Genomic DNA, 19,294 nt, shown 5'->3' on the forward strand with positions numbered 1-19,294 from the left:
CGCCCACCCAGGTGACTTGAAGGTTTCCTACCCTGGTCCAGTCCCTCCTAGGTCTAACCTTAGGAATCCCGGAATCCCAGGCCCCTGAGCGGGAGGCTGGGCTGGGCTGGGTGAGAAGAAGGAAACGACCTTTACTCCCTCCCAGAGCCTGAAGAATTTCCTCCTGCCTTGCACTCTGCCCCTTTCTTTTCCTTCGTTCCTTCCTTCCTTCCCTTCTTTCCTTCCTTCCTTTTCTTTTTTTTTTTTTTTTTTTGAGACAGGGTCTCACTCTACTCTGTCGCCCAGACTGGAGTGCAGTGGCGTGATATCAGCTCACCGCAACCTCCGCCTCCCGGGTTCAACCGATTCTCCTTCCTCAGCCTCCCGAGTAGCTGAAGCATGCGCCACCACGCCCGGCTAATTTTTGTACTTTTAGTAGAGACAGACGTTTCACCATGTTGGTCAGGCTGGTCTCGAACTGCTGACCTCGTGATCCGCTCGCCTCGGCCTCCCAAAATTTGGGGATTACAGGCATGAGCCACCGCGCCCGGCCCTGCCCTGCCCCCTTTCTTTTCTGGATGCTGGGTGTGAAGACAGAGCCCGCAGGCCAAGACCGCAGGAAAAAGGCACGCAGCCGCTGTTGTATCTTCAGAGTCCACGCCTCTGGCCTCTGGGGCCTCCGGTTCCCCTCTGTGGAATGGGGCAAACCTTCCAGAGATAAGGTGACCCAGGGACCAGCGCTATGCTAAGGAGGTCTCTGGCCTTCGACAAGCTTCTAATCCAAGAGGCCTCCCAGATGCACCTCAAAATGTGCCCATTTCGCGGACGGAAACACCTTCCAAATAGTAGGCTCCGTTCCAAGCGCGGGGGTTATTCCTGCCGGGTCTTGCTGGCAGCCTTGTCGGGCCGGGCTCTGGCCGCGGCCGCCGGCCCCCTCTCGGCTGCGTGGATAACCCGGCCTGGAGTTTCCGCCTCAGGACCTGGCTCCTGTGATGGGAGGTGGGGAGAGAAACCTCCGCCGCGTCCAGGGGGCGTGTCTGGGCAGGGGCGGGGCTGACCCGAGACCTGGAGGAGGAAGAGGGGCAGGTGCAGCCGGGAGCTGCGGAGCTGGAGGGAGGAGGACGAGAGCCCGGCCCTCAGCCCGCTGTGACTCTCCTCAGCCCCCTCCCCCAGCCCGGGGTGGGGGCCGATTGACTGTTTCCAGGACCCCCTCGGGTAGGGGGGCTGGAGAGCCCCCAGGTGGACCATGGCGGTGAGATTCCAGGCGAGTAACCCTCCAAGGGTGGCAGGGGGAGGGGCTCGGGCTGAGGTGGGGTGGGGGGAAAGCAGGGTTTGGGAGTCGGACCCAGGACCCCAGAACGCCTACCTACATAACAGGCAGGGAAACTGAGTCCCAGAGGGATGAAGTGGCTAGCTGGAGGTTGCACTTCGAGATGCGTCCGCGCGTCCGCGCCCCCCTCCCTGCCTCCAAAGACCATCTCTTCTGGAGCCTCCTCTGCCCCAGGACCGGCCTCCTTTAATACCGCAGGGCTGGGTTCAAATCCCGAATTTTCTGTCCACTATGCTGTGTGTAACGTGGGGCCAGTGAGTGAACCCTCTCCTTCCCTCATCCGAAAAATGGGTGATCGGCATTTTAAACAGAGAGAAAAATGTGTTTTAAGAGCTTGGCGCATCGTAGGTGGGCAGAAAAGATGTTCATCCCCCTTTGCTGGGGGCGTGCAGCCGGCTGAGCTTGGGCGCCCGCGGTGGCACGGTGGGCAGTGACTTCATTTGGGGGCTGGGGTGGCTTTGGTGAACATTCACCTCCTACAAGGCTGCACGAGGGAGCACCAGCATTTATTGGGTGCCTACTGTGTACAAAGCTATTAACAGGCATTACCAGGCAGAGGCAGGGGTGGGGTGAGCAAGCCGGCTGGGGTGCGCCGTGGCGGGGGCGGGGCGGGGGGCGATCCTTGTCTCCGGAGGGATTTCACCCTCCAGGCATGGAGCCTGGGCTGGTTTCTTCAGACCCACCAGCCAGGGTAGACTGGGACTGCAGCGGTATGCGGCCAGACCCAGGCCACTCCGCCCCAAGCTTCAGGACCCGGCACTTCTGGTTCCCGCTGACTTCTTCCTTGCCTCCAGGCACAGCTCTCAGAATCCCCTCCCCAATCGGTGTATTTGTTCGCTGAAACCGCCCTCTCTGCCATTGTTCCTGGAGATGGGGTGGCGGGGGGGGGGGGCACAGGGGACGGCGGCCCGGGAGCCCCGTACCCGGGGGCGGTGTGACTTGGTACCGGCCCCGTCCCCTCTGGGCGGGCCTCTTGTTCGGTGTTTGTGTCCAGCCCTGGGCGGGGGGCGGGGACAAAGACCCAAGCCCCACCCTCTCAGAGTTCACCTGGACAGGGGCAGGGCTGGGAACTCAGGACACACCTGTTGAGCACCTGGCCACAGTGTGTTTTACTCAACCATTCACTCATTCCTCAAACTCTTCCCTAAGGGGGCCTGGTCCTATGGGGTCCCAGGGGCCCATCCCTGCCCATCGGGAGCGCTCAGACTGAGGGGGAAGGTGTAAGGTGGACAAATCCACTCTGACATCCCACACCCCAATCATCACATTTGGGCCAGAGGGAAGGATGTATGATATGCGTACGGAGGAAGAGGCTGGGGCTGTGAAGGATGAATAGGAGTTTGCCAGGGAGTCCAGTACCAGCACTCAAGGCCTGGAAAGGAGGCTGATGGCCAATCACCTGGGCCTTAAGTAGCCAGAGAGACAGACATGTCTCCTTTCACAGCCTAAGAGGAAAGACCAGAAACATACTAACCGATGGTTAAAGAGAATAAAGATGATTTTTAGATGCCTTGAATAAAAAATAATAAAACAGGCTGGGCGTGGTGGCTCACTCCTGTAATCCCAGCACTTTGGGAGGCTGAGGGAGGTGGATCACCTGAGGTCAGCAGTTTGAGCCCAGCCTGGCCAACATGGTGAACCCCCACCTCTACTAAAAATACAAAAATTAGCCGGGCGTGGTGGTTGGACGCCTGTAATTCTAGCTACTTGGGAGGCTGAGGCACGAGAATTGCTGGAACCCAGGAGGCGGAGGTTGCAGTGAGCTGAGATTGTGTCACTACACTCCAGCCTGGGTGACAGAGTGACACTCTGTCTCAAAAGAAAAAAAAAAAATATATATATATATATATATAAAATAATAAAATAGGCAGGAGTGATAGGGGATCAGAGAAGACTGGTTAGCTAGGTGGTCAGGGAGGACTTCCTGAGGAGGTGGCATTTGAGCCTAGACCTCAGTGGCAGGGGCCAGCCAGGCAGGAATCCCGTGAAACATGTCCCAGATTCAGGGGACAGATGGGGTAAAGGTTTGGAGGTGAACTAAGATGAGGTGGGCTGTGAGGTTAGGCTTAATCCCTCAGGCACTGTGGAGCTCTGGAGGGTTTAGACAAAGCTTCTGGTTTCCATGGAGACGAACCCGCACAAGCTGGGACAAGCCTGGACCACCTGGACTCCCTCGCCCCTCTCCCACTCTGGGTTCGGGGGCCCTGGTTCCCTGGGGCTGTCTCTTTTTTTTTTTTGAGACGGAGTTTCCCTCTGTCGCCCAGGCTGGAGTGCAGTGGCACAATCTTGGCTCACTGCAAGCTCCGCCTCCCAGGTTCACGCCATTCTCCTGCCTCAGCCTCCTGAGTAGCTGGGACTACAGGCGCCGGCCACCACGCCCTGCTAATTTTTTGTATTTTTAGTAGAGACGGGGTTTCACCATGTTAGCCAGGATAGTCTCGATCTCCTGACCTTGTGGTCTGCCTGCCTCAGCCTCCCAAAGTGCTGGGATTACAGGCATGAGCCACTGTGCCCGGGCAGGGCTGTCTCTTAAAGTCAGGAAATACAAATTCCTTGGGGCCATTTAAAAATTTTTTTTGAGACAGGGTCTTGCTCTGTCGCCCAGGCTGGAGTGCAGAGGCACGATCACAATTCACTGCAGCCTCGACCTCCTGGGCTCAGGTGATCCTTCTGCCTCAGCCTCTCGAGGAGCTGGGACCACAGGTGCATGCCACCATGCCCGGCTAATTTTTGTATTTTTTTGTAGAGATGAGGGTCTCACTATGTTGCTCAGGTTGGTCTTGAACTCCTGGGCTCAAGCAATCCTCTTGCCTCGGTCTCCCAAAGTGCTGAGATTATAGGCAGAATCCACCGTGCCCGGCCCTGGGGCCATTTAATGACACAAAGTATAACATCAAAGCAGGTTAAAAAAAAAAAAGATGCAGTTTTGAAAAATAAGCTCAGAAGAAAAAGAGTAAATAATCAGAAAGCCACTGTAGCCTGGTGGTTAAGAGCAAGAGTGAGGCTGGGTGCGGTGGCTCACGCCTGTAATTCCAACACTTTAGGAGGCTGAGGTGGGAGGATCGCTTGGGCCCAGGAATTTGAGACCAGCTTGGTCAACATAGCAAAACCCCATCTCTACAAAAAAACAAAAAAATATGCTGTGTGTGGTGGTGCATGCCTGTGGTCCCAGCTACCTGGGAGGCTGAAGCAGGAGGATCCCTTGGGCCTGGGAGTTCAAGGCTGCAGTGAGCTGTGATTGAGCCACTGCACTCCAGCCTGGGCAACAGAGTGAAACCCCGTCTCAAAAACCAAACAACCAATCAACCAACCAACCAACCAAAAAAGAGCCAGAGAACAGGGCAGGCTGCCAAGTTCACCACTGTGCTGCGTGACCTCAGGCAAGTTACTGAACCTCTCTAGGCCCCTTTTAATCTCACCTCTAAAGTAGGAATAATAACTGTGCCACTTCCTAAGGTCACTCTGAGGATGAAATGAATGGGTCCACATCAAGCGCCTGCTTGCAGCCAGGTTCAAGACAGCCTGACCAACATGGTGAAACCCCGTCTCTACTAAAAATACAAAAAGTAGCTGGCTGTGGTTGTGGGTGCCTATAATCCCAGCTACTCGGGAGGCTGAGTCAGGAGAATAACTTGAACCCAGGAGGTGGAGGTTGCAGTGAGCCGAGACTACGCCATTGCACTCCAGCCTGGGCAACAAGAGCAAAAAACCCCATCTCAAAAAAAAAAAAAAAAACTACACAAGGAGAAAGTCATTATTTGGCCACCACCTCCCCAAGGCTCCTTCTGCTTTTTGCTTTTCAGGCATTGAATCTGTACCCTTTTCCCAAACCACATCCCTGCAAGACAGGGCAGCAGTGCCATTTCACAGATGGGGAGACTGAGGCTGGGAGAGGCCCCGCCATAGCTAGCACGGGTGGGCAGACTTGGGATTTGAGTCCAGTCCTGAGCGCTGCCCTGGCTCCTTCAGAACTGCAGAGCCCTGCCCTCTGCTCTGTTTCTCTCCCCTCCACCCGCCTTCCCACTCCTGGAGATCAGGAATGCTGGCCTCGCTAGAGACGCTGGAGCTTATAAGAAAAGGCACTGGAGCGCACCAATGGGGGGTGCCTGGGCAGAGGGAATCACACACCCGCTGTGCCAAGCCTAGAAAACCCGCCCCGGGGAGGAGGAGGAGTCACTTCTACAAACTCCCTCCCCACTCCCTCCACCTGTCCCCTGCCTGGGGAGCAGGGCATGGTGCGTGCTGGCAGGAGGGAAGGGAGGGTGGAGGCGTGGCCAGGTGACCTTGCACCTGAGTCTGGTGTTCTCATTCATGCCATGGACATGAAAATAACAGAATCTGCCTGGTGTGGAGGCTCACGCCTGTAATCCCAGCACTTTGGGAGGCCAAGGCGGGCGGATCACTTGAAGTCAGGAGTTCAAGATCAGCCTGGCCAACATGGTGAGACCCCCGTCTCTATTAAAAATACAAAAATTAGCTGGGCATGGTGGTAGACACCTGTGATCCCAGCTACTTGGGAGGCTGAGGCAGGAGAATCGCTTGAAACTAGGAGGCAGAGGTTGCAGTGAGCCAAGTTGGCACCATTGCACTCCAGCCTCAGCAACAGAGTTTTTTTTGTTTTTTTTTTTTCTAAGTGGGAAAGCCCAGGTGGGAGGATCATTTGAGCCCAGGAGTTCAAGAAGAGTCTGGGCAACACAGCAAGACCCTCCTGTCTCTATAAAAATAGAAGTTAAAAAATTAGCTGGGCATGATGGTATGCACCTATAGTCCCAGTTACTCAGGAGGCTGGGGCAGGAGGATTGCTTGAAGCCAGGAGTTCGAGGCTGCAGTGAGCCATAATGGCTCACACTTGTAATCCCAGCACTTTGGGAGGCCAAGGCTGGAGAATCACTTGAGCCTAGGAGTTTGAGACCAGCCTTGGCAACACAGAGAGACTCCATCTCTACAAACAATAAAAAAAATTAGCCGGGCATCGTGATGTGTGCCTGTGGTCCCAGTTACTTGGGAGGCAGAGGTGGGAGGATCACTTGAGCCTGGGAGTTCGAGGCTGCATTGAACCGTGATCACACCACTGCACTCCAGCCTGAGTGACAGAGACCCTGTCTAAAAAAAAAAAAGTGTGGGAGGGGGGACTTCATGGCTCTGTGCCTCAGTTTCCTCATCTGTAACATGGGGATAATTGAATGCACCTTTGATGAATGTATTAAATGAGATAGTACATGTAAGGCTGGGCGCGGTGGCTCATGCCTGTAATCCCAGCACTTTGGAAGGCCAAGGGGGTGGATCACAAGATCAGGAGTTCGAGACCAGCCTGGCCAACATAGTGAAACCCCGTCTCTACTAAAAATTCAAAAAAATTAGCTGGGCATGGTGGCACATGCCTGTAGTCCCAGATACTTGGGATGCTGAGGCAGGAGAATCACTTGAACCTGGAAGGCGGAGGTTGCAGTGAGCCAAGATCACGCCATTGCACTCCAGCCTGGGCAACAAGAGCGAAACTCTGTCTCAAAAAAAAAAAAAAAAAAAGAGATAGTACATGTAAAGCACCTGGCACAAAGGAAGTGTTTCATTCATTCACTCATTAATTCATTCAGCAAATCCTTCTTGAATCCCTGCTGCAACTCAGGCGCTGTTCTAGGCAGGGAACTGAGGGCTCAGTTTTGGACAAAGACAAAAATCTCTGCCCTCTGTGGGTGGATCAGTTGAGGTCAGGAGTTTGAGACCAGCCTGGCCAACATGGTGAAATCCCGTCTCTACTAAAAATAGAAAAATTAGCCTGGCGTGGTGGTGGGCACCTGTAGGTGCCCAGCTACTCAGGAGCCCAGCTACTCAGGAGGCCAGTAGGCAGCCAGCTACTCAGGAGGCTGAGGCAGGAGAATCACTTGAACTTGGGAGGCAGAGACTGCAGTGAGCAGAGATTGTGCCACTGCACTCCAGCCTGGGCAACAGAATGAGACTCCGCCTCAAAAAAAACAAAACAAGGCTGGGCACAGTGACTCACCCCTGTAATCCCAGCACTTTGGGAGGCCGAGGTGGGTGGATCACTTGAGGCCAGAAGTTAAAGGCCAGTCTGGCCAATGTGGTGAAACCCTATCTCTATTAAAAATATAAAGATTAGCCAGGTGTGGTGGTGCACCCCTGTAATCCCAGCTACCTGGGAGGCTGAGGCAGGAGAATCGCTTGAACCCGGGAGGTGGAGGTTGCAGTGAGCTGAGATCGTGCCACTGCACTCCAGCCTGGGCGACAGAGCCAGACTCTGTCTCAAAAAATGAAACAAAACAAAAAAACAAACAAAAAAACCTGAGGCCCTGAGAGAGGTAGTAACTTGTCACAGGCTCCAAACACAGGCCTGTCAGAGCTGGACTCCCCACCCTGAGCTGGGGACCCCCAAGTGCTCAGATGAACCTGTGTGGCCTCATGCCCATCTTCCCCGCTCCCCTCGACCAGGTGGCTGACATGGAGGAGCTGACCATCTGGGAACAGCACACGGCCACACTGTCCAAGGTGAGGCCTCCCTCTCCCTGTCTGGGTGCCAGAGAGTATGGCGGCTTAGGCCCAGCTCAATAGAGGGGAGACCCTTTACCCTGGGGGAAACAGCAGCTCTTCCTTCCCCTCATCCTCTCTCAGGACCCCCGCCGGGGCTTTGGCATTGCGATCTCTGGAGGCCGAGACCGGCCCGGTGGATCCATGGTTGTATCTGACGTGGTACCTGGAGGGCCGGCGGAGGGCAGGCTACAGTGAGTATCCAGGCAGCTGGGTTCTGGCGGGGGAGGGCACGTGGAGAGGAGAAACCAGGCCAGGCACAGTGACTCACACCCGTCATCCCAGCACTTTGCGAGGCTGAAGTGGGCGGATCACCTGAGTTCAGGAGTTTGAGACCAGCCTGGCCAACATGGTGAAACCCCGTCTCTACTAAAATTACAAAAATTAGCGGGATGTGGTAGCGTGTTCCTGTAATCCCAGCTACTCGGGAGGCTGAGGCAGGAGACTTGCTTGAACCCGGGAGGCAGAGGTTGCGGTGAGCCAAGATTGCGCCACTGCACTCCAGCCTGGGTGACAGAGTGAGACTCTGTCTCAAAAAGAAAGTAAGTGAGGTGAGGAGAAACCTTTGTGAGCCTGGCACTTTCCAGCTCTGTCAACACAGGGCTCGGACTTGGCAGTAGGACAGTGTCAGAGACTTGGGCCTCACTTCCCTAAGGTACTTCCTGGTCCTTCACAGGAATTCTTGGGGTCATAGTGGCCCCAGAGCCCTTTTGGAACATAAAGTCCTGGAAACCATCGAGTGTTTGAGGGTTTGATGCTTCTTGGAATTATGTTGTTAAAATGGTTCTGGGCCCCAAGTGGCTGACAGGTGATATGGCTCAGCCCAGCCCAGAATTAGGGACCACCAGGTTCAGAGAGAAAGAGCTAGAAAGAAAATATGAAATACAGACAGGAAGAGAGGGAAAGAAAAGCAGAAAGTGGGGATTTGTGGTGTGGGGAGCGAGGAGTGAGAAGATGCCAGGTGTAGCTGTAGCTTCAAGGCCGGGTGCAGTGGCTCACACCTGCAATCCCAGCACTTTGGGAGGCCGAGGTGGGCGGATTACCTGAGGTCAGGAGTTCAAAACCAGCCTGGCCAACATGGTGAAACCCCATCTCTACTAACAAATACAAAAATTAGACGGGTGTGGTGGCGGGCACCTGTAGTCCCAGCTACTAGGGAGGCTGAGGCAGAAGGATCGTTTGAAACGAGGAGGTGGAGGTTGCAGTGAGTTGAGATCATGCTACTGCAATCCAGCCTGGGCAACAGAGTGAGACTCTGTCTCAAAAAAAAAAAAAAAAATGTAGCTTCCACTCTATGATTATAGTAGGTTCTACAATTGGCTCCATTTTACAGGTGAGAAAACGGAGGCCCAGAAGGATAAATGTCTTTGTGAACCTAGGGACACCAATGAATTAGAACCAGGCCTTGTAGATCTGGAGGTTCCAGGGGCACCCCCTCCCCAGGGAGGGCTTGTTACGAGGGTCTCCCCTGCAAAGCCTCCTCCGTAAGACCCGCCCTCCTCTCTCAGGACAGGCGACCACATCGTCATGGTGAACGGGGTTTCCATGGAGAATGCCACCTCCGCGTTTGCCATTCAGATACTCAAGACCTGCACCAAGATGGCCAACATCGTGAGTAGGCAGCCCCTGGCATGGCCAGCATCTCTGACCCCAGCCTGGGTCGTGCCGCTGTGGGGGTTGTAAGCTTCTGAGAGCAAGGAGTCATCTTCTCATCTTACAGTTTGGACATTGAGGCCCAGAGAGAGACTGGTGTCCCCCAGGGCCACCCGGGGGCTGAGCAGAGCCTCCCCCAGCCCTTGCCTGTAGCTGACCCTTCCTGTCCCCTCCTCTAACAGACAGTGAAACGTCCCCGGAGGATCCACCTGCCCGCCACCAAAGCCAGCCCCTCCAGCCCAGGGCGCCAGGACTCGGATGAAGACGATGGGCCCCAGCGGGTGGAGGAGGTGGACCAGGGCCGGGGCTATGACGGCGACTCATCCAGTGGCTCCGGCCGCTCCTGGGACGAGCGCTCCCGCCGGCCGAGGCCTGGTCGCCGGGGCCGGGCCGGCAGCCATGGGCGTAGGAGCCCAGGTGGTGGCTCTGAGGCCAACGGGCTGGCCCTGGTGTCCGGCTTTAAGCGGCTGCCACGGCAGGACGTGCAGATGAAGCCTGTGAAGTCAGTGCTGGTGAAGAGGAGAGACAGCGAAGGTCAGAAGAGGCGGGAGGTCGGACACGATCAGTACTGGACACAGGGCACCGTGGTCGGATGGGCGACGGTTTCAAGTGATTCTCCTGCCTCAGCCTCCCTGGTGGCTGGGACTCCAGGCGCCCGCCACCATGCCTGGCTAATTTTTGTACTTTTGGTAGAGATGGGGCTTCACCATGTTGGCAAGGATGGTTTCGAATTCTTGACCTCAGGTGATTCACCCACCTCGGCCTCCCATAGTGCTTGCTGGGATTGTGGGCGTGAGCCACCGCGCCCAGCCTGGAAGCTACAACTACACCTGGCATCTTCTTGCTCCTCGCTCCCCCCACCACAAATCCCCACTTTCTGCTTTTCTGTCCCTTTCTGCCTGTCTGTATTTCATATATTCTCTCTAGCTCTTTCTCTCTGAACCTGGTGGTCCCTAATTCTGGGCTAGGTTGAGCCATATCACCTGTCAGCCACTTGGGGCCCAGAACCATTTTATCAACATGTCCCCGCGCTGATCCCCGGGACCTCTGTTTAGGCCACCTCACTTAGCAAGAGGGACTCAGCAGATGGGATGGAGTGAAGGACCCTGAGCTCAGAGGTGATCCTGGATGATCTGGGGGGCCCAGTGTCACCACAGGGTCCTTATAAGAGGAGGCCTGGCTGAGTGTGGTGGCTGATGCCTGTAATCCCAGCACTTTGGGAGGCCAAGGCAGGCAGATCACTTGAGGCCAGTAGTTCTAGACCAGCCTGACCACTATGATGAAACCCCATCTCTACTAGAAATACAAAAATTAGCCAGGCGTGGTGGTGTGCACCTGTAATCCCAGCTACCTGGGAGGCTGAGGCACGAGAATTGCTTAAACCCGGGAGGTAGAGGTTGCAGTGACCTGAGATTTTGCCACTGCACTCCAGCCCCGGCGATAGGAGTGAGACTCCTTCTCGAAAAAAATTAAAAAATAAAAAATAAAAATTGAAACAATGATGATGTTATGAGCAATAGAATGCCCTTAGCCTGTGCATGGCAACATCACGAGTGGCACGGTGACCTGGTGTCCCCGCCCCGTGGAGATGTCATTGACACAATCAGATCTCGGGTCCTACGGGCGACATCACTGTTCTCCTTATGATGCCATCAAGGTGTTAGGATGGGAGGGCCCGCACCTGGACTGCTTACAGCAGGAGAATGCTCCCAGGCACCCGTCTCCAGAGTCCTGCCTCAGTTTCCCTCCTCCCCCCTTACAGAGTTTGGCGTCAAGCTGGGCAGTCAGATCTTCATCAAGCACATTACAGATTCGGGCCTGGCTGCCCGGCACCGTGGGCTGCAGGAAGGAGATCTCATTCTACAGGTGAGGCCGGGCTTCTTGTCCTGAGAGCAGGGAGACAAGGCAGGGTTGGGGCGGGCAGTCCCACGGAGTCATACAGCAAGGACAGCAGAACTGGGCCCCAAAGCATTTACCTTCAGTGTTGTTGCTTGTATCTCAAAGGTTGCAGATGGCCAGGCATAAAACCCCCTTTTTCCCCAGCTACTACTAATCCACAGCCAAATGTCGGTTTCTAGTATCCCCATGGGGTTGTCTGTTTCTAATACCCTCTAGCTTTGATGTGCATCAGAGACTCATGTGGGCAGCTGACTCCTGGACCTACCCTAGGTGACTGGATGCTAATGACCCAGTCACCAGGTTTAGGGGAGCTGCCCTGCCCTAAAGGATGGTATCTTTCTGGATTCTTCCCCTGAAAGTCTGTTTCTAGTGACTCCTAGTGTTTGATTTCCAAATTGCTTTCAGCTGATTATTTCCAGTGTCTTCAAAAAGTTATCTGTTTCTTTTTTTTTTTTTCAGACAGAGTCTCGCTCTGTCACCCAGGCTGGAGTGCAGTGGCGCAATCTCGGCTCACTGCAACCTCCGCCTCCCAGGTTCAGGTGATTCTCCTGCCTTAGCCTCCCGAGTAGCTGGGATTACAGGTGCCCGCCACCACACCCAGCTAATGTTTGTATTTTTAGAAAAGACGGGTTTCTCCATGTTGGCCAGGCTGGTCTCGAACTCCTGACCTCAGGTGATCCCCCCCGCTCGGCCTCCCAACGTGCTGGGATTACAGGCGTGCACCACCACACCTTGCTAATTTTTTGTATTTTTAGTAGAGACGGGGTTTCTCCATCTTGGTCAGGCTGGTCTCGAACTCCCGACCTCAGGTGATCCATCCGCCTCGGCCTCCCAAAGTGCTGGGATTACAGGCATGAGCCACCACACCCGGCCGACATTAAGTTCTTTCTAGGAATTGTGTGTTTCTAATCTACCTCTAGATGACTGTTTTCTTTTCTCTTTTCTTTTCTCTTCTCTTTTTTCTTTTCTTTTCTTTCTTTTTGATATGGAGTGTCGCTCTGTCACCCAGGCTGGAGTGCAGTGGCGGGATCTTGGCTCACTGCAACCTCCACCTCCCGGGTTCAAGTGATTCTCCTGTCTCAGTCTCCTGAGTAGCTGGGACCACAGGCGCCCACCACCACGCCCTGCTAATTTTTGTATTTTTAGTAGAGACAGGGTTTCACCATGATGGCCAGGCTGGTCTTGAACTCCTGACCTCAACTGATCTGTCTGCCTCTGCCTCCCAAAGTGCTGGCATTACAGGCGTGAGCCACCGCGCCCCACTCTAGATATCTGTTTCTAGTTATCTCCCAGAAGATTGTGTGTTTCTAGTATCTTTTAAGTATCTGATACTCCCTCTTCTCCAGTTAGAGTTGTTTATAATGTCACCCTCACATCTGTTCCTAGTATCCCCTGAGACATTTCCACTTTTGGTAAGAAAGGAGAGTCAACCTGTTTCTCATTTTCCCCAGTGTCTCCCACCCCTCTTAGAACATTTTCTGTTTCTAGAATTCGGTGCTCAGTTCTTGGTGTGGTCTCCACTCACAGCAGGAATCCAATTCAACACTTTCCTTAGGGAGTGGCTGTTTTTAGCAACCTCTGGGGGAATTGTCTGTTTCAAGTTCCCCCACACCAGGCTGTTTCTACTGTCTCCCATCTCTCATTAACTCACTTCCGCTCTTTCATTCCTGGTCCCTTTCAGATCAACGGGGTGTCTAGCCAGAACCTGTCACTGAACGACACCCGGCGACTGATTGAGAAGTCAGAAGGGAAGCTAAGCCTGCTGGTGCTGAGAGATCGTGGGCAGTTCCTGGTGAACATTCCGCCTGCTGTCAGTGACAGCGACAGCTCGCCATTGGAGGGTGAGGACCTAGAGGTTAGGACCTGGGAGGGGGTTGAATGGATGGCAGGGAAGGTGGGAAGCCCCAGGCAGGGCCAAGGAATCAATGAGCCTGGTCCCTAGAGGCTCAGAGAGTGACAGGAACTTGCTGAAGGCCACACAGCAAGTCAAGAGTTCAGGGGGGCGATCTCGGCTCACTGGGTTCAAGCGATTCTCTGCCTCCTGGGTTCGAGCGATTCTCGTGCCTTGGCCTCCTGAGTAGCTGGGATTATAGGCGTGAGCCACCGTGCCCAGCTCCAGAGCCGAATCTTCTAACTGAGCTTCTGACTTTGGTCTAGGGCCCTTTGTTTAGAGGGGTGTTGATATACCCCTCTGTAAAATGGGTCCAGTCCAGAAGGCGTGACCATGGCTGATGAGATGTCCTCTCCCCCTGCAGACATCTCGGACCTCGCCTCGGAGCTATCGCAGGCACCACCATCCCACATCCCACCACCACCCCGGCATGCTCAGCGGAGCCCCGAGGCCAGCCAGACCGACTCTCCCGTGTAAGTATCACCCATCGGCCAGAATGGTGATAGGGAGGGAGAGGGAGGTGGGAGGGAGAGGGGAACGCGGGCGTAGCTTTCCAACTGGGGGTAACCTTGAGGACGCAGTCCTGTATTTCTAGCATGTGCCTCAAAATACCTCCAGCCTCTACCCATTACCCAGTTCCAAAGCCGTGTCCGCATTTGTAGGTGTTGGTTACAGCAGCACCCCACTTCTTAGTATCAAACTCTGCCTTAGGCCAGGTGCGGTGGCTCACGCCTGTAATCTCAGCACTTTGGGAGGCCGAGGAGGGTGGATCATCTGAGGTTAGGAGTTCGAGAACAGCCTGGCCAACGTGGTGAAACCCTGTCTCTACTAAGATACCAAAATTAGCCCGGCGTGGTGCCGGGTGCCTGTAAGCTCAGCTACTTGGGAGGCTGAGGCAGGAGAATCACTTGAACCCAGGAAATGGAGGTTGCAGTGAGCCGAGATCGTGTCATTACACTGCAGCCTAGGCAACCAGAGCAAAACTCTGTCTTAAAAAAAAAAATTTCTTTTTCCTCTATTTATTTATTTGTTTTGAGACTGAGTCATGTGAGACTGGCTAATTTTCATATTTTTGGTAGAGATGGGGTCTGTATTGCCCAGCTATGTTGCCCAGGCTGGTCTTGAACTCCTGGGCTCAAGCATTTGGCCTGCCTCAGCCTCCCAAAGTGCTGGTATTACAGGCGTGAGCCACCACGCCCAGCCCAGATAAATTAAAATTATTTTTATTTTGTTTATTTATTTATTTATTTTTTTGGAGACAAGGTCTCACTCTGTCGCCCAGGCTGGAGTGCAGTGGCATGATCTTGGCTCACTGCAACCTCTGCCTCCCGGGTTCAAGCAATTCTCCTGCCTTAGCCTCCTGAGTAGCTGGGATTACAGGCGCCCACCATCATGCCCGGCTAATTTTTGTATTTTTGGAGAGACGGGGTTTAACCTCGTTGGCCAGGCTGGTCTTGAAATCCTGACCTCAGGTGATCTGCCCACCTCGACCTCCCAAAATGCTAGGATTACAGGCATGAACCACCGTGCCCGGCCTAAAATTCTTTTTAAAATGGCCCCTTGAAATCCATCCCTGCCTCACTCCCAATCTGTTCCCCACCAGGGAGAGTCCCCGGCTTCGGCGGGAAAGTTCAGTAGATTCCAGAACCATCTCGGAACCAGATGAGCAACGGTCAGGTGGGTGGTGACTCTGAGCACCCCTGTCCCTGACATTTCTGATCCCTGACAGCAAGGCTGTGCCAGGCAGAGCTGGGGGAGGTTGGCCTGAGCCTAAGTGGTGAGACATGGTTTCCTGAGAAGGACTCGAGGTGGGTGACAGTCCTTCCAGGATGAGGACATAAAGCAAAGGTTTGGAGGCTGGACTGAGCCAGTGTGCTTGGGAAAGAGACTGGCTTTTCCCTTTCAGAGTTGCCCAGGGAAAGCAGCTATGACATCTACAGAGTGCCCAGCAGTCAGAGCATGGAGGATCGTGGGTATGTACCCCAGAAGAAAGCAAACCCGCTCAAAACTCCTACATCCCAGGCTGCCTCCCTCATCAGCGCAATCCTGCCTGCTTGTATCCATTGTGTTGAGTGGGACCATTAAGTGGGGGTTTTGGGGAAACTGAGGCCTGGAGGGGGTGGGGGCTTTCCCAAGGACAATGCTGAGCCCTCCCTTTGTCCGCCCACTCTGCTCTGACCCCATCTCTGCCTCCCCTTGCAGGTACAGCCCCGACACGCGTGTGGTCCGCTTCCTCAAGGGCAAGAGCATCGGGCTGCGGCTGGCAGGGGGCAATGACGTGGGCATCTTCGTGTCCGGGGTGCAGGCGGGCAGCCCGGCCGACGGGCAGGGCATCCAGGAGGGAGATCAGATTCTGCAGGTGCTCCGGGGGCGGCTGGCCAGCCCCACTGATCATGGGCGTGCAGTGTGCTAGGTCCTGCCCTTGTCTGTTCCAGTCCTCCCCTTGGGTCCACCTGGGGACTGTCGAGACCCCAGATGGGTATTTGAACATTTCAGTGTCTCCTTGGCTGTGTCATGATTTTGCTGATGTCACGACCTTATCTTCCAGGTCATGACCTCATCGTCCAGTTACAACCTCCTTTTCTGTGCCTTGACCTTATCTGGGTTCATTTTTTGTTGTTGTTGTTTTTGAGATGGAGTTTTGGTCTTGTTGCCCAGGCTGGAGTGCAATGGTGTGATCTTGGCTCACCGCAACCTCTGCCTCCCAGGTTCAAGCAATTCTTCTGCCTCACCTCCTGAGTAGCTGGGATTACAGTTGTCCACCACCACGCCCGGCTAATTTTTATATTTTTAGTAGAGATGAGGGTTTCGCCATGTTGGCCAGGCTGGTCTCAAACTCCTGACCTCAGGTGATCCACCTGCCTCGGCTTCCCAAGTAGCTGAGATTACAGGCATGAGCCACTGCGCCTGGCTAACTTTTTTTTTTTTTTTTTTTGAGATAGAGTCTTGCTCTGTCACCCAGGCTGGAGTGCGGGGGTGTGATCTTGGCTCACTGCAACCTCCGCCTCCCGGGTTCAAGGGATCATCCTGACTCAGCCTCCCAAGTAGCTGGGATCACAGGTGGCCGCCACCATGCCCAGCTAATTTTTGTGTTTTTAGTAGAGACAGGGTTTCACCATGTTGGCCAGGCTGGTCTTGAACTCCTGGCCTCAAGTGATGCACCCGCCTCAGCCTCCCAAAGTGCTGAGATTATAAGCTTGAGACACTGTGCTCAAGATTGGGAACAACAATCTTGTTGTTCATGTCATATGACATTGTTCATGTGACATTCTTGTTATCAATGTCACAATCTCCTTGTTATCAATGTCAGGACTTTGGGTCACAGCCTCATTGCCTATGTCATGACCTTGTCTGGGTCGCAATCCTCTTGTTCCTGACATTGGCTGTGTTGACCGTGTCATGACCGTCTTGTATGTCCTAATCGTGTGGTCAGGTCACAGATCATTCTCTCATGATCTCCATGTCCACTTATAGTCATTTTCTGTGCCACCATCCCCTGTGTCTGTGTTGTGACCTTGCCTGTGTCCTGCCTTCATGACAGTGTCATAACTACCTCCAGGATCCACAGCCCCTCATCATCCCCCCATCTCTGTCCTTGCCTCATCTCATCCCCAGGCTGTCTCCCCTGTCCCTTGCGCGAGTTCACTCACCAAGTCTCACCCCCACTTTGCTCTCATGACCTTGCTTGTGTCTTGACCTTGCAGTGTGAGTTGTGATTCATGATGGAGTCACAGCTCCCCACTTTCCATGTCATAAGCCCACTGGCTGGGTGAAAACTTGATGCCAAATTGCCTGAGGGTCATGGTATTTTTTACTGTATTTCTACTCATTTTGCTTGTGGGATTCTAACCTTGACATCCACGTCATGACCCCGAGAGTAGGTGTCTGTGCCCACAAGCTGTGCAAGTATATTGCTGTCCCTGTTATGACCCTGAGAGCAGGTGGCTGTGTCTGTATATTGCTGTCCATGTCGTGACCCTGAGAGCAGGTGGCTGTATATTGCTGTCCATGTCATGACCCGGAGAGCAGGTGGCTGTATATTGCTGTCCATGTCATGACCCTGAGAGCAGGTGGCTGTGTCTGTATATTGCTGTCCATGTCATGACCCGGAGAGCAGATGGCTGTGTCCATATATTGTTGTCCCTGTCATGACCCTGGTGGTAGGCATCTGTGACCCACTGTGTGTCCATATATCGTTGTCCCTGTCACGACCCTGTGACTACTGTGACTACGTCTGAGTTCTTTTGAGCATTTCACACAGTTTCCATCGAGCTCCATGCCATGACCTCTGTTCCCATGTTTTGATATTGACAACCCACCATGATTTGGTTATCTGAGGACAAGTGCAGTGCCTGTGCCCGTTTCTGTGTCAAAACTCTTGTATCCTTACAATGCCACCAGCTGTCTGTGTCACACATCACACAGCCATAGGGTGATACCCCAGTCGGAAAGCCCTCGGGGAACTGCCGGGTCCCTTGGCAGCAGCTCTGGAAGCAGCTGGGGCTGAGTTTTGCCCAGAGGAAGGTCCAGGATCTCATGCACGCCCAAGAGGTACCAGAGCTTTTTCTATAGCTGCACTTGCTTTCTGGCAGGTGAATGACGTGCCATTCCAGAACCTGACACGGGAGGAGGCAGTGCAGTTCCTGCTGGGGCTGCCACCAGGCGAGGAGATGGAGCTGGTGACGCAGAGGAAGCAGGACAGTGAGTGCGCGTGGATATGGGTGTGCCTGTGTGTTGCGGGGGGAGGACCTGGCTGTGTGGCCTGGTGGTGAGTGCAGGGATGTGGTTGAATCTGCATCTCTGCACCCTCCATCCCTCTCCCTGGCCCCTACAGGGAGAGTGCCCCAAATCTCCAGCCAGGCCCACTCTCGGGTGGGGAGGGCTCAGATCAGGCAGCAGCCCAGGCAGCTCATGTGGCCTCCCGCTCTCCCCAGTTTTCTGGAAAATGGTGCAGTCCCGCGTGGGTGACTCCTTCTACATCCGCACTCACTTTGAGCTGGAGCCCAGTCCACCGTCTGGCCTGGGCTTCACCCGTGGCGACGTCTTCCACGTGCTGGACACGCTGCACCCCGGCCCCGGGCAGAGCCACGCACGAGGAGGCCACTGGCTGGCGGTGCGCATGGGTCGTGACCTGCGGGAGCAAGAGCGGGGCATCATTCCCAACCAGAGCAGGTGGGGACTGTGTGCTCCTGCAGTGGGGCACTTCTGCTTCAGCCTCAGTCTCCCCGTTAGAAATGGGCTCGATTGGGCTGGACGCGGTGGCTCAGGCCTGTAATCCTGGCACTTTGGGAGGCTGAAGTGGGCAGATCATGAGGTCAAGAGATCGAGACCATCCTGGGCAACATGGTGAAACCTCGTCTCTACTAAAAATACAAAAATTAGCTGGGCGTGGTGGCACATGCCTATAATCCCAGCTTCTTGGGAGGCTGAGGCAGGAGAATCGCTTGAACCTGGGAGGCAGAGGTTACAGTGAGCCGAGATCACGCCACTGCACTCCAGCCTGGCAACAGAGTGAGACTCTTGTCTCAATAAATAAATAAATAGGCATGATATCACTGCTTAGCAGTGTTGGTGGTTCAATCTGAGGAGGTCCACAAAAGGCTCTGGGCGGGCCCCATTTGGTGCTGGTATGAGCTTCCTGTTGTTGCTGTAACAGATGCCCAGAAACTTAGTGGCTTTAAACAACACACACATCCTCTTACAGTTCTGGAGAGCAAAAGTACTAAAGTCAAGGTATGGGCAGGCCTGGGCCCTCCCAGAGGCTCCAGGAGAAAACCAATTTTCCACCTTTCCCAGAGTCTAGAGGGGCCGCATCCCTCAGCTCGGGGCCCCTTCCTCCCCCTTCATAGCCACAGCACAGCCTCTTCTAGTCTCTCTCTGACTCTCACCCTCCCGCCTCTTCTTGTGAGGACCCTGTGAGGACATCGGGTCCCCTGGGTCACCCAGGATCATCATCCACCTCAATAGCATCAGTTTAATCCCATCTGCAGGCCAGGCAC

At 54.4% G+C, this 19,294-nt stretch overlaps 1 protein-coding gene across 3 annotated transcripts in view, besides 1 other annotated feature; it reads left to right on the top strand.

The window, feature by feature from the left end:
- TJP3 (tight junction protein 3) overlaps nucleotides 1-19,294 on the top strand; it is a 42,430-nt gene that overhangs the window by 12,284 nt on the left and 10,852 nt on the right. Inside the window, exons 1-13 of one of the 3 annotated variants that reach the window (XM_047438611.1) lie at nucleotides 71-701; nucleotides 7,757-7,813; nucleotides 7,937-8,046; nucleotides 9,361-9,463; nucleotides 9,688-10,039; nucleotides 11,268-11,371; nucleotides 13,086-13,245; nucleotides 13,660-13,768; nucleotides 14,899-14,972; nucleotides 15,202-15,268; nucleotides 15,498-15,654; nucleotides 17,888-17,996; nucleotides 18,230-18,467. In XM_047438611.1, the coding sequence (XP_047294567.1) occupies nucleotides 513-701; nucleotides 7,757-7,813; nucleotides 7,937-8,046; nucleotides 9,361-9,463; nucleotides 9,688-10,039; nucleotides 11,268-11,371; nucleotides 13,086-13,245; nucleotides 13,660-13,768; nucleotides 14,899-14,972; nucleotides 15,202-15,268; nucleotides 15,498-15,654; nucleotides 17,888-17,996; nucleotides 18,230-18,467 (1,829 nt within the window). In that variant the 5' untranslated portion in view covers nucleotides 71-512. Of the gene's footprint in view, nucleotides 1-70; nucleotides 702-1,069; nucleotides 1,244-7,756; nucleotides 7,814-7,936; nucleotides 8,047-9,360; nucleotides 9,464-9,687; nucleotides 10,040-11,267; nucleotides 11,372-13,085; nucleotides 13,246-13,659; nucleotides 13,769-14,898; nucleotides 14,973-15,201; nucleotides 15,269-15,497; nucleotides 15,655-17,887; nucleotides 17,997-18,229; nucleotides 18,468-19,294 lie in introns of those variants that run through there. The other 2 variants (NM_001267561.2, NM_001267560.2) reach the window with 2 other exon arrangements.
- Nucleotides 16,160-16,360: a silencer, noted in NCBI's record as "peak3252 fragment used in MPRA reporter construct". NCBI's record gives its function as "represses an SCP1 promoter by STARR-seq MPRAs in K562 erythroleukemia cells {active_cell/tissue: K562}" and the evidence as "EXISTENCE:reporter gene assay evidence [ECO:0000049][PMID:32103011]".

This window comes from Homo sapiens, chromosome 19 (assembly GCF_000001405.40).
Source record: "Homo sapiens chromosome 19, GRCh38.p14 Primary Assembly".
Classification (NCBI taxonomy): Eukaryota; Metazoa; Chordata; class Mammalia; order Primates; family Hominidae; genus Homo; species Homo sapiens.